Genomic DNA, 13,540 nt, shown 5'->3' with positions numbered 1-13,540 from the left:
ATAGCAAAAATATGGACTCAGCCTAAGTGCCCATCAATGATAGACTGGATAAAGAAAATCATAAACACCGTGGAATACTATGCAGCGACAAAAAAAAGAACGAGATCATGTCCTTTGCAGGAACATGAGTGGAGCTGGAGGCCATAATCCTTAGCAAACTAACACGGGGACAGAAAACCAAATACCTCATGTTCTCACTTATAAGTAGGGCTAAATGATTAGAACACATGGACACAAAAAGGGGAACAACACACACTGGGGCCTGTCAGAGGGTGGCAGTTGGGAGGAGGGAGAGGATCAAGAAAAGTAACTAATGGATACTAGGCTTAATACCTAGGTGATGAAATAATCTGTACAACAAACCCCCATGCCACAAGTTTGCCTATGTGACAAACCTGCACATGTACCCCTGAACTTACAATAAAAGTTAAATGAAAATAAATAAATGTAGAAGCAATGAGGACAAATAGAAAATTACCTTTAGAACTCCACAGTAATAATTTCTCTAAGCAAGATCCAGTACTGAATGCTAAAATTAGTGGGTGAAACTTCAATGAGAAACCGAACATTTCCCTAACCTCAAATTATCTCCACTCCCTAATGTTTATTACTTAATGTGCTAGTTTTACCATATCTCCACAAATTCTTTGATATTCCTCCTTCTAGAAGGTGGAGATTAGCTCACCTCCTCTTCCAGTACAGTAGATTTAGGGACTCTCTTCTAACAGTTGAATATGGAAAGAGAAAAATGGTAACTTCACAGTGGAGAAACTCAAACTGAGTGACATTCTACAAAACATTTGACAAGTACTCTTCAAAAGTGTCAAGGTCATGAAAATTAAGGAAAGATTAAAATTGTTATAAATTAGAGGAGACTAAGGTAACATGACAACAAAATGCAACGTGGTATTCTGGATTGGATCCTGGAACAGAAAAATATAGTGGAAAAAATTGGTGAAATCTAAGTAAAGTCTATAGTTTTGTTAATGGTATTGTACCAATGTTAATTTTGATAATGGCATTGTGATTATGTAAGTTAACAGAGAAATCCAGATAAAGGATATGTGGGAGCTCATTGTACTACTTTTGAACTTCTCCCATAAATAAAACTGTTCAAAAATAAAAAGTTTAAAACAAACAAATAAATAAACAAAAGCCAAAGAACAAATTGAAGAAAATGTTTAATACAGATGACAGAAAAAATGACTAGTAGTCTTACTACAAAGGGGCTTTCATAAACCCATTGAAAAGTGAGCAAATAAAATAAATAAGCAATACATAGTGAGAAATGCAAATGTGAGAATTATAGTGGGAAATACAAATAGACATATAGGAATAATCAACTTTACTAAGAATCAAAGTCATGAGAAATAAAATCATATTTCTCTTTTGTCAGCCTAATTAGAAAAACGTTAAAAAGAGATAATACTCTGTCTTTGAGGTTATGAAAAGAATAGACACTCATATTTTCCTGTTACAATAAATAATTATGCAAAATGGAATACTATAAAGACAGAAAAATGATGTTATAAAAGAACTTTTAATGGCATAGAAAGATGCTCATGCTATTTTATAAAGTGATTTTTAAAAACCTTGGATTTTAAAAAAATCACCTATGACATGATCTGTTTTCATATAAAATATACATTATGTGTCTCTTAAAAGCCTGGAAGGTAATATACTATACTGAAATATTAACTGTGGTTACCTTTGTGTAGCAGGACACAGAATTTTCATGTTTTTCTTTATCTCCATTTTCTAAATTTTCTGTAAGAAATATATATTAACTTATGTTTTAAGATTTTTCCACAAACAAATGAAAAGTGGCCAAAAATTGGCAGTCAATCCATCTCAATCAGTCGTATTTATCATTAAAACTGTTATGGAGTGCCTGTCTCTGTGTGCGGCCCTGCCTGTCTTCAAGTTTACGGCTCTGTCAACCTGTGTATTACAGGCTTTGGTTTTTGAAAGGAGCATCTTTGATCCAGGCTCACAAGCCATAGGGAGTAGACTTTGAGTTGATGTTGGTTATGGTTGGGAAGAAAAATAATCTTTTGTTGAAAACATCACTATTTTTATTGAGATAAAGATGTTCTTAAATGGATAATGAGCAAAAGATTCATATCAGGCATTGGTGAGGGGAGTGGAAGTCCCTCTTTCATTTTTTAGAAACAGTTTGAGAACCATTGCTCAGTCACTAACTTAGAAGAGAATGGCTGGTGAAATACAAAGCCATGTCAATTCATGTGGAAACAGGGGAACATTCCACAAAAGAGCTGATTTGCTAACGCAGTTCTGAGTACTCATCCCAGAATCTTGGTGGCATCTCTGACTTTTACCCTGGACTCAAAATTCCTCTAGGCACAAGTTACAGAACCAAGGATTAGTTGAAGAATACTCATAGGCTCCTGGCATATAAAGGGCTAATTAACTCCTGATTGGATCCTACTAAATCCCTATTTCCCTTTGAATTACATCCAGACTTCTTCTACCCCCTAAAAAAGTTAAAGTACTGTATAAAAAACAAAATTTGCAGCTGAGGGTCTTAATTTAATAATCTTACTTCTGCAATGGTATGTGAAAACACTGGTGTTTGAAAACAGTGTGTTTACCTTTCTGTTGAACAGTCACTTAAATTGTTCATGGCAATGATCTGCCAGGCAAAACATGCACAAATCCAGGCCTGAACCAACAGTCTCAAACGGGAAAAAGATTCCCATGGGGAAAGATGCTGTTTACATTGCATAAGTGATGCTAAAGCAAACCTTGTTCATTTAGGTGGACAGAGTGAATAAAACCCTTGGGGTGGATTAATAGCAAAGGTGTGTTTCAGAAGAAATGCTCTGTGCAAGTATCCATTTCTGCATTAGGGCCACAGGTACTGAGAGCTACCTCTGATGCTTCACACCTTTGCCAACATCTCCCTATTTTCAGAAAGGAAAAGCACTCTCAAGCAAAACACAGGGCTTTGAATTCAGCGAGGCCTGCCTTTGGAACCTGTTACCTATTAGCAATGTGCCTCAGGCAAGTCAATAAATCCCTTTTTGGTCCTCAGTTTCCTCATCTATAGAATGTGAACTAAATAAAATAAAATAAAATAAAATAAAATAAAATGAAGACATTTTAGCAATAAATTCCTTAAAAGATTGTTGTGAGAACTCAATATGGTTCTATGTTAAAATGGCAGGTACACTTGAAATGGTAGTTATTATCACCATGAACTTCACATGCATGCTGACTCTCCATCTGAAAATATGGTTCCTGATACCCTGCCTTGAAATATTTAAAAGCAACTGGCATAGAGTTGAGGACAAGAGATCTCTTTTCTCTATTACATAAGCAGAAAGAAGCACCTGAATATAAACAGTGTTGGAAGCCCTAACATAACATTCTAATGATAGGGTATTGTCTAGCTAAAGATACGAAAAAATCTTAGAGTGATGAATTTTTAACATTGAAATTTGACTTACCTCTTGGCTCCACTGCCTTAAATCCATTTTGGAAACAGGCAGAGTATAAATAAACAGTCAACTCTTCTCTGGATGTTTGGGTGAAAGCAGATGGTGATTGAGAAGACATGGGTCAGTGTGTGTGAGAGAGTTAAAAACAAATGTCTTATGAGGTAAATAACTTGAACAATAAGAATGGAAATCTTTTTTGAATGGGAACCCAGGTCACTTGGGTCTTTGCTCTGGGAGCCTCTTTGTTCTGTTAGCAACATTTGGGTAAATTGCAAAGCACAGTCCTCCAAGTGTGGCCACTTTCTCTGTCCTTGCCTTATCCACTTCCCTTTCCATTCCTTTATTGTGTGGCAGGATTTTTCTCTCACTTGATTCATCTTTCCCCATTGCTGTCCTCTGTTTGCCCACAGCTTCATGTTGGCTCACACATTACCTTGCCCCTATCCTCACCATTAGTAGGCATTCAATGGTATCTTTTGTTGGAAAACAGGACAGAACATCTGATGCTACCCAAATGCCTTTCCCTTTTTGTTCTCCATACCAGCCTCACATATGCCCTTTCTAACTGGTTAGCCCAAAGGGATTGTTGAGGGCACCCTGGGGATACTGCCTGTTAACTGAGAGTCATTTCCTTCCCTTAGCACCACTAATAGAACATTCCATTTGAGCTCAGAACTTATATTTGGATAACTGTGTTGAGATGAAACTTTCTTCCCATGCCCTCTGCTCTGTACTCCCAGATCGTTCTGAGAGCTTGTAGCATCCTATATTGTAATGTAATAAATATGTGTGAAGACCAATGCTTCCCTCCAGCTTATTGCTAAATTATCCACAGGAAAATTAAATACACACTTTGGGCTCTGGCAAAGCAGAGGCGTTAAACAAAACAAACTACTAAAACCATCAACACAAAAAACAAACAAACAAAAGCAGAAATGTGCAATTAGAAGACCTCGAAAGATGCAATTTTAATGTAGAACACTTCATTTTTATGTCTTTAAAACAGTTAAATTTTATTTTGAAACATCTGTGGGAAGGGAACACCACCAACCTTCCGGAATTCAGAGCCTCCTCAATTCGTACTCTGTGCCTGTTCTTGATGAGAGATTCTTAAGTGAAGTCTCCACCAGTCCCCTGAAACCATATTCAAAATCAAGTGTTGTTGCATTTTTTCGAGGTAAAACCTTTTAAGTTTCATCAGACTCTCAAAGGGCTCTGGAAGCCTGTACTGTTTAAGAATCACGGCACTAGTGAGCTGGAGAGATGAACTATGTTTGATTCATCTTTGTACGTTAGGGGCTAGGGCAGTGTCCAGCAGGGTGGGCACACAATATTGGTTAATATACAGTGAGTCTTCCTGAGTATTGAGATTATTTTGGCACTTTTATGCATCAAAGAGATGTAATTCATGATTCTGTGACCCTATTGTTTTGCGGTTATTTAACATTTTGGTCTACTTGATGGTGATACATGCACACACACACGCACACACACACTTTTTTCTTTCTAAATTATTAGATGGTCCCTAACACATTGGTAAGCTTAGACTAGCCCTAGGATCAAACTTGGTAAAATGATTGTTTGCAAATTGGAGTTTGCTACTACAGTTGTCCCTTTATACTCATGGTTTTGTATCCTCAGGTTCTGCATCTGCGGATCCTGCAGATAAAAATATTTTTTTAAATAAAAATAGGAATACAACATTAAAAACAGTATAACAACTATTTACATTTGCATTTATATTGTATAGATACTATAAGTAATCTAGAGATGATTTAAAGTGTGCAGAAGGTTGTACATAGGTGATATGCAAATACTACACCATTTCGTATGAGAGAGTTGAGCAACCTCAAATTTTGCTATGCACAGGGGATTTCTGAAACCAGTCCCAAACAGATATCAAAGGACAACTGAATTTCAATCAGAAATGTTTTTAGGTACTCCGTCTTCTCATTTGTCAATTTTAATTCAACCTGTTATTGCTTTGTTTTAAAAATTAGCTGGTGTTGTTTGCAGGCAAAATAAGTTCAGAAAATTTCATCCTCATTCATCAGAGTTTCTCCAGTATCTTTGTGTGAGAGTCAGTCCTCCAGGAAGCCTGTTAAACGTGGGGATTCCAGGGCCTCCTCCCCAGAGGGTCAAGATAACTAGTCTGGAATCTACATTTTTAACAAAGACGTCAATTGATTCTGAGAAGGGTACTCTATCAGTCTTTGAAAAACACTATTTTATATTGGCTCACTCTCTCCATTAGTATTCATTGAGGTTCAAATCTAAATTTAGGGAAAAAAATGGGCATGTATCACTTCTGAAACTTTCCTTTGAATCTTCATTTCCATGAGACAAAGAGAATGTGGAAAAATGCTTTAGGGGAGAAGGAACTAACCCTATTTTAGACTTGCTGTGTTTTGTTTTTCATTTTTAATATGTGGATGATTTCTAAAGCAATCAGTGAAAACCTAGGTAGCACTGGAAAAACTTTTCATGTTTGCTTTATCTTTGGTGCCAGAGCACATTAAATGTTAACACTGCGACTTGCAAGGACCCCCAGCTGGTGGATCCCTGAGGACAAGGACAGAAGTTCACCATGCACGGCCACTCTGCTTGTAAGTTTGTCTTCATGGAGCCACAGCCTCAGTATATTATGGCAATTTATTGAGCTCTGCCCGTTGTTACAGATAAATGTGTTGATAGGGCAGAACCTTTCTCCTCACATACCCTCCAGACAAGAAGGGACTATGCTTGATTTGGTTATGTTTATTTTAAGAACATTTATTGAGTCCTTGTATGAGATAACTACAGATAGCTGATTTTACATACATTTCATTTAATTCTCACAATAACTCTGCAAATTAGGGTTGTAGTTGTTAGATATGACATATATGGGGTATGATATACAGTAAATCATGATTGATATGGTTTGGCTCTGTGTCCCCACCCACATCTCATCTCAAGGGAGGAACCTGTAATCCCCACAGGTCGTGGGAGGGAGGTGATTGGATCATGGGAGTGGTTTCCCCCATACTGTTCTCATGCTAGCAAGTGAGTTCTTATGTGAGTGAAAAATCTGATGGTTTTGTAAGTGTTTGACAGTTTCTCCTTCACACACTCACACTCTCTCCTGCTGCCCTGTTAAGAAGGTGCCTGCTTCCCCTTCTGCCATGATTGTAAGTTTCCTGAGGCTTCCCCAGCCATGTGGGACTGTGAGTCAATTAAACCTCCTTTGTTTATAAATTACCCAGTCTCAGGTAGTATCTTTATGGCAGGTGAGAATGAACTAATACAATAATGATGATGGTGGTGGTGATGATTCCACATTCACCCCATGGACTCTGCAGTCCCCATGCTGTGCACAGCTGTCTCCTTCTTAGGCACCACACTGTAAAGTGCAAGATAAGCATCTTTTTTGATGCAATAGTAATAAAAACATGAACATTTTAAAGTAAAAAATGAATAAATATTATTCCTATTCCATAGAGAAGAAAGCTGAACTGAACAAGGTTAAGTGACTTGGCCAAAGTCACAGGCAGTAACTACAACAACTGGAATTTGAATGCTTGTCTAATGACTTCTGTCTAATGGCTTTTATAGTTGTGCAACAGGTGTGTGTTCCAGGCCTGTCATGGATGTTTTTCCATAGCTAGTCACCTTCCCTGCAAAACAGAGGGTGGTCCTCAAGGAGAGCAGGATGTCTTCTGGAGCAGAGTCTTCCAAAGAGCACAGGAGACCAGGGGCTCCTTGAGGGGAAGCAACTTTGCCTTATTCTTATTTGTGTCTTTCAGCATCTGGCACAATAAATGCTTGTCTCTTGATATTTGTCAAGATGGGTAAACAGACGCTCTTTATTGTCATATCATCTGTTTCCTTAAGTTTGGTATCTGAGTGACAGTAATAATGACTAACATTTATGGAGCTCTTGCCAGTTGCTTTACTGGTGGTACCTGTTATGGTCTGACTGTTTATGTCCTCCCCCAAATTCCCATGTCAATGCCCTAACTCCCAATGCAATGGTATAAAGAGGCAGGGCCTCTGGGAGGTAATAAGGTTTACATGATGCCCTCACGATGAGATTGGTGCCCTTATAAAATGAGACCAGAGCTCGCTCTCTCTCTCTCCTCTCTGTCCTGCCATGTGAGGATACAGCAGGAAGATGGCCATGTGCAAGCTAGGAAGAAGACAGAACTCACCAGGGACTGAAGTGGCCAGTACTTTGATCTTGGACTTCAAGCCTCCAGATCTGTGAGAAATAAATTTTTGTTGTTTAAGCAACCCAGTCTGTGGTGTTTTGTTGCAGCAGCCGAAGTGAACTAAGACAATACCCTATGAGCTAATACCATTTTAGCAGTGAAGAAACTGAGGCTCAGGGAGCTTAGCAACTTTCTCAAAGTTTCTGTGTGCTAAGCTGTTTCCCTGCCCCTTTCTGTCTGAGGGGAAATTGAAATATAAAGCAACAACCTGTTGCAGAAATATTTGAGTAAACAAACTTCAGAAAGAGTGTTAGAACCCAAACTAGCTTTCAAGTAGAAAAATCAAGGTATTCCTGGGTGCTGTTAGTGTGAAAATACAGGAAATGTCATTGGACCCATAGGTGGGAATTATGGGCAGGTCTCATAGAACAGGCACCTAGAAGGTAGTCGGTAATCAAGAAAACATTTCTTTCCACGAGGCTGCACGATCCCCCTCATCTCTGTGTGTCTCTCATCCTTTATCGGCCTGCTTCCCTCTTCACCTGATTCCTCTGCTTGTTCTTTTGGGGTGCAGCCCTACAAGGAACACCAACCTACATTCTGCTTGTCTCCACTGATCTGCTCTGTCTTTGAGTATTTCCAGTTCTAGAAATTGGTAGAAAGCCAGCTCATATGAGTGAGACCGCATGTACCACAGGCGGCTGGCCAGCTACTTCTCTGGTTCCTTGTCAAAACTGTTGCATACATGTAGCTCAATCTATGATCATCTCTGCACAAACAAACAAACAAACAAACAAACAAAACCCAGCCCTGCACCCTTTCTGTGAATGGGAAGCAATGTACAGAACATATTAAGCCAAGAGGTAGGTAAGGCAGAAAATTGAAAGATGATATCTGTTATTGATTTGGTATGAGTTAAAGGTACATGGTTCTGTTTTAGATATTTTATAATAATAAAAATGAAAAAAGAGAAAGGAATTGCCCCACAATTACGTTTTCAAAATATGTTTATTTTTTCCCCTAATTTTTCTTGAGGTTATTTAGATATTTCTTGACAAATCTTCATGGTAACATATGTGAAAGCAGACATGTTTATTTTCTTTGATTTGGTGGAATGAATTATCAAAATTCTGGTTTTTAACATTGTTAAAACTTCTGAGTAAAAAATTTCTAACAAATGAAGTGTTAATACCAAAAAAAGAGTGTTAGCTATGAGTGGTATGTAAATAAGTTGTCAAATATCATCAATAATAATTCTGATCACCATTTTCTTGGGTTTATTATAATAAGACAAATGTTGCTCCCAAAGAAACTGCTGATTCTGGGGCAGGGACAAGAGCTCACCAAGAAATCCAGCTACCAAAATATTTTGCCTGGTCACCCGGCCACAGGGGCTGATGGCCAAATCACAGACTTGAAACCTAATGGCTGTGAGTGCACATCAACGTGTTCATCTGTCTGGTATTATTATGTAGTTTTTGGAAAGCCGTGATCTCTACGTCAGATTGTTTTTTGCAAAATAAGAAATAATACTGGGGTCTTGCCTCAAAAAAAGCAGTGAAGATCAGCTCATAGAAATGTTTGAAATCTAGGTAGTACTGCAGATTTGTGGACGCTAGAGAATGACTGTAAGAAGTGATCTTAGGCGGGAAAAGCCCACTGTTAGGTCTTGGCTCATGCTCCGCGTTGCCAATTCCCAGCCTTGCAATTTTGGACAGGTTATTTAATCTGTAAGTGTGCTTCCATTTCATCACATATAAAACAGAAATATGAAAACCTGCCTTTGAGCATTTTCATGGGGATTAAATGAGATAAGTTCTGTCTGGCACATACCAATGCACAAATAAGCTTAGCAAATGTTTTTGTTTTTTAACTAGATGAAGATAAGTCTCTCCAGTGGTATATTTTTCTTTAGGAAAAAAATATCAGTACATGCTTTTAACATAAACCTGAATCTAACTTCTATATAATAATGGACAAGATAAGACTCCAGAAATATTTTAGAATTTTCTTAGATGAGCTCTCAATCTGTGTTAAAACAGGTAAAACCTTTTACTATAGACTGAGAAGGAAGAGAAAGGAAAAAAAATGGCCTATTTAAACAATGAGGAATATATATATATATATTTGTCAGTATCTTAAAGAGGCTTTTCTTATACAAACAGGAGTATTTGCTGGTCAGTGCCCAGATTTTTTTTTCTTTTGATGTACATTAAAAAAATTAAAAGAAATATTCTTAGAAAGACATCTGTGCCTGGGGTGACTCACATTTGATCAATCCCTGTGAACTGAGCTTTTCAGGGGATGTGCAATTATTTGCTCAGTTAGGCTTAAACTTTTTATTTATCTAATCACCCCTCTGTAATGCTTTGATCTGAACTTCCAAGGCCTATTTTTCAACCACTTTAGCTACATATTTTAAGTCTTATAGTCTAATCAACCCTAGCCCATAAAACATGCAATGTCCTGTTTAATGCCTCCTATTAGGAAATCAGCTGCCACATGGATTTTGTAATCTCCCACTTTGTGACTGGGTGAGCTGTTTGGAAGTGTCATTAATGTCATTATTCCAGGAGAGCGAGAGAGAGCCAGCAGCCAAGTGCATCCCCTGTATCCCAGCTGGCTTCTCCTTGCTAACGTTTGCCGAGTGACTCAGAGGTGAATCATCGGTTTCTGCAGGTGTAAGCTTGGGAGTCCTGGAAGTCTTCCACATCCCAGTGGGGGCAAATGTTTACCTCATTAATTCATGGGATTACTCAGTAGTTCCAGCCAACTTAATTTGACTGTATAATAGTTAAAAATATGTGTGTGTATGTGTGTGTGTGTGTGTGCATATTTACTTATAGCCCAGGAGTGTGCTACAGCTTAGAAATTTAAAGGTAAAACCTGTCATTGAATAATTAGAAAATGTTGTGTTTATTTGAAACATTTAGAAAAAAAAATTCTATGTATGTCATTTTACTGTAACATATACACTTGGTAATGATATTTCTCACTTTTCTCTCTGTGCTTGGATATATGTGAGGGACTGAGGTCCATAACAGTTGGTGAATTAGCCCACTCTAATTCCTTTCCCAGCCTTGGGGCTTATTTAGTTGAATGTTGTCAGAAACCTTAGCCTTCAGAGACTTTTTTCTTTTCAAAGGACACTCAATTTTTGGTTGTAAAAACAAAAAAGTAAATATAAATATATTTCTTCACTTTATTCATCTCTGAACAAATCTTGCTTTTACATCTTAGTAGTGCCTAATGAAGATAACAACCATCAACTAAATTAGTAAGATTTAAGAATATAAAAATATAGTTACAGCGCCAATTTGCTGAAAATTAATGGTCATTAATCAAGACCTATGATGCAATAGCTAATAATTGATTTCCTCCTATGTTCTAGCACAATGTAAAATGCTTTACAAATACTAATTTATTTAATTATTAGAACACCCTACAACATTGGTACTCTTATTGTCTGCATTTTACAGATGAGAAACTCCAGGCAGAGAGAGGTTAGCCAGCTTGCCTAAGGTCACACACAGATAATACATGATGAAGCCGGCATTTAAATCCAGACAGTCTGACCTTAGAACCTGAATTATAAAACACTATGTTATTATGGTCTAATGACAAATTTTTAAAAAACACAGAAGAATCTATGCATGTAAATGAATCCAGTCCATCTTAAAGTAGCCACCTATGTATGCTCTATACTTATTTCAAATTTTGCTGTGGCTTAACACTTCCAGAACTCTCTCTTTTCTTTCATTTCTAAAAAAATTCTTGTGGAAACTATGCCTTGTTGGTCTAAATATCACCAGTAAAAGCTTCACTCTTTGAAGTTGAATTTGATTTTGGAAATAGTTGAAAGTGATTCAAAACTCAGGTTGGTGAAGAGAGGAGGAATCAAGTTTGGTAAGATCACTATAAGTTAAACTGTCTCTAAATATAATTTTCAAGCAGGGATTCTAGAATTCCAAAAATATTTTGTGTAATGGTAGCATCATTAAAATAAATGGAAAGCCTGCAAAGGTCATTCTGAAGAGCGTTAGAAAGACAGAGAACAGTAGCATAGAAGTTTCTGCTACAGTGATTCATCCTCTAAACATATGAAACCATCCTATTAGGTCACAATTCAATAGATGCTATTTGACTACCTGACCTGTTAGAAGCCCCTTTCAATTCTTCTGTATCCAAATTTATATAGGGGACATTATCGGTCAAGACCCTGGTGAGAGAGTGACACAAAATGGGTAATTGAGGAGAGTTAAATAAAGAAACAGTTTACAGGGTTATAAGCAGGATTTGTGGAAACCAATAACAGAAAGTGCAAATCCCTGGATAGGCAGCATGGAGGCACCATCATGCCCCTCAGCCTGAAGGGGCGCAAGGAGAGGAGCAGGGGCAAGAACCAGGGAGGGCTGCTGCTGTGAACAGGGCTGCATGCAAGGGCCTGCATTGGGGGAGGCAGCCAGCCCATGTCAACCAAACGTAGGGGGGAGTCAGCTCAGAGCAAATACCCCATCTCACTCTCCTCCTGCCCTCTGAACTCCTGCTACTGCCCCACAGACCAAACCCAACCAGAACACACAGCAAAGAGCCAGCCTGTTGTCACATGCCACAGAGATTACCTTTTGGGAGCACACAGTGGGGTCAAGCCTGCCTTCTCTCTGGTTCTCACCTTTCCTAGAGGAGAGGAACTGACGCATGGTAAAGACATTTCATATACAAATTTCAGTTACCCAACTGGCCTAGGAAAGGGAGGAGAGGAAGAATCTGACATTTATTGACAGTTTTTACATTTAGTGAGTACTTACTATGTACCCAATGTGCCAGGTGTTTTACTTATGTTAAAAATGAAGATGCATTATGTGAAGAGAATTTCACTTTACTTCTGTGGTTTCCCTCCCCTCACAATTACATTCTAATTATGAGAAAACATCAGATAAACCTTATCTCTATTGAGGGGCATTCAATAAAATATCTGAGCAGTATTCCTCAAAACTGTTAAGGTCTTCAAAAATAAAGAATTCCGAGAAACTATCACAACCAATGGGAGCCTCAGGAGACATGACCAACAAATATAATATGGTATCCCTGATGGGATCCTGGAAAAGAAAACAGACATTCGGTAAAAACTATGGAAATCTGGGCCGGGCGTGGTGGCTTACACCTGTAATCCCAGCACTTTGGGGGGCCGAGGCAGGTGGATCACCTGAGGTTTGGGAGTTCGAGGCCAGCCTGACCAACATGGAGAAACCCCGTCTCTACTAAAAATACAAAATTAGCCTGGCGTGGTGGTGCATGCCTGTAATCCCAGCTACTCGGGAGGCTGGAGCAGAAGAATCACTTGAACCGGGGAGGTGGGGGTTGTGGTGAGCCGAGATCACACCATTGCACTCTAGCCTGGGCAACAAGAGCGAACTCCATCTCAAAAAGAAAAACAAAAAAACAAAACAAAACAAAAACTATGGAAATCTGAGTAAAGTGTGGGCTTTAGTTAATAACAATGTATCAGTATTGGTTGATTAATTGTGACAACTGTATGTACTAATGTAAGATGTTAATAATGGTGTGGGGTGTATGGAAACTCTCTTATCTTTGCAATATTTCTGTAAATCTAGAACTATTCTAAAATAAAAATTTTATTTAGAAAATAAAAGTCTAGTGCTTCACTTTTCTTGGAGAATAAGAATAAAGCAAAGGAGGAAGAGAAAGAGGAGGAGAAAAGCACTCTTCGGTCATGCTTTCTTCACAGCCATTGCTCTGCCATAACACCCAGCCAGCATTGTGCTGGTCAGGAGTTCCCACCACTGCTTCACTGGGCACTTATGCAAATGACTTAAACATTCTCACCTTATGATGTGAGGTGTTAAGTTGGATTATTAAACTAAATTTTCT

At 38.2% G+C, this 13,540-nt stretch overlaps 2 annotated features.

Annotated features, from left to right (window-relative positions):
* Nucleotides 9,466-10,665: an enhancer, noted in NCBI's record as "P300/CBP strongly-dependent group 1 enhancer chr3:181930066-181931265 (GRCh37/hg19 assembly coordinates)". NCBI's record gives its function as "activates an origin of replication core promoter dependent on BRD2, BRD4, P300/CBP, MED14 and CDK7 cofactors, with strong dependence on P300/CBP, by STARR-seq in HCT116 cells {active_cell/tissue: HCT116}" and the evidence as "EXISTENCE:reporter gene assay evidence [ECO:0000049][PMID:35650434]".
* Nucleotides 10,061-10,562: an enhancer, noted in NCBI's record as "NANOG hESC enhancer chr3:181930169-181930670 (GRCh37/hg19 assembly coordinates)". NCBI's record gives its function as "activates a minimal SCP1, AML or CMV promoter by ChIP-STARR-seq in naive H9 embryonic stem cells {active_cell/tissue: H9 hESC(naive)}" and the evidence as "EXISTENCE:reporter gene assay evidence [ECO:0000049][PMID:30033119]".

Source organism: Homo sapiens, chromosome 3 (genome assembly GCF_000001405.40).
Source record: "Homo sapiens chromosome 3, GRCh38.p14 Primary Assembly".
NCBI classification, from domain to species: domain Eukaryota; kingdom Metazoa; phylum Chordata; class Mammalia; order Primates; family Hominidae; genus Homo; species Homo sapiens.
The sequence above is the reverse complement of the archived record's forward strand: the minus strand, read 5'-3'. Positions and strand labels throughout refer to the sequence as shown.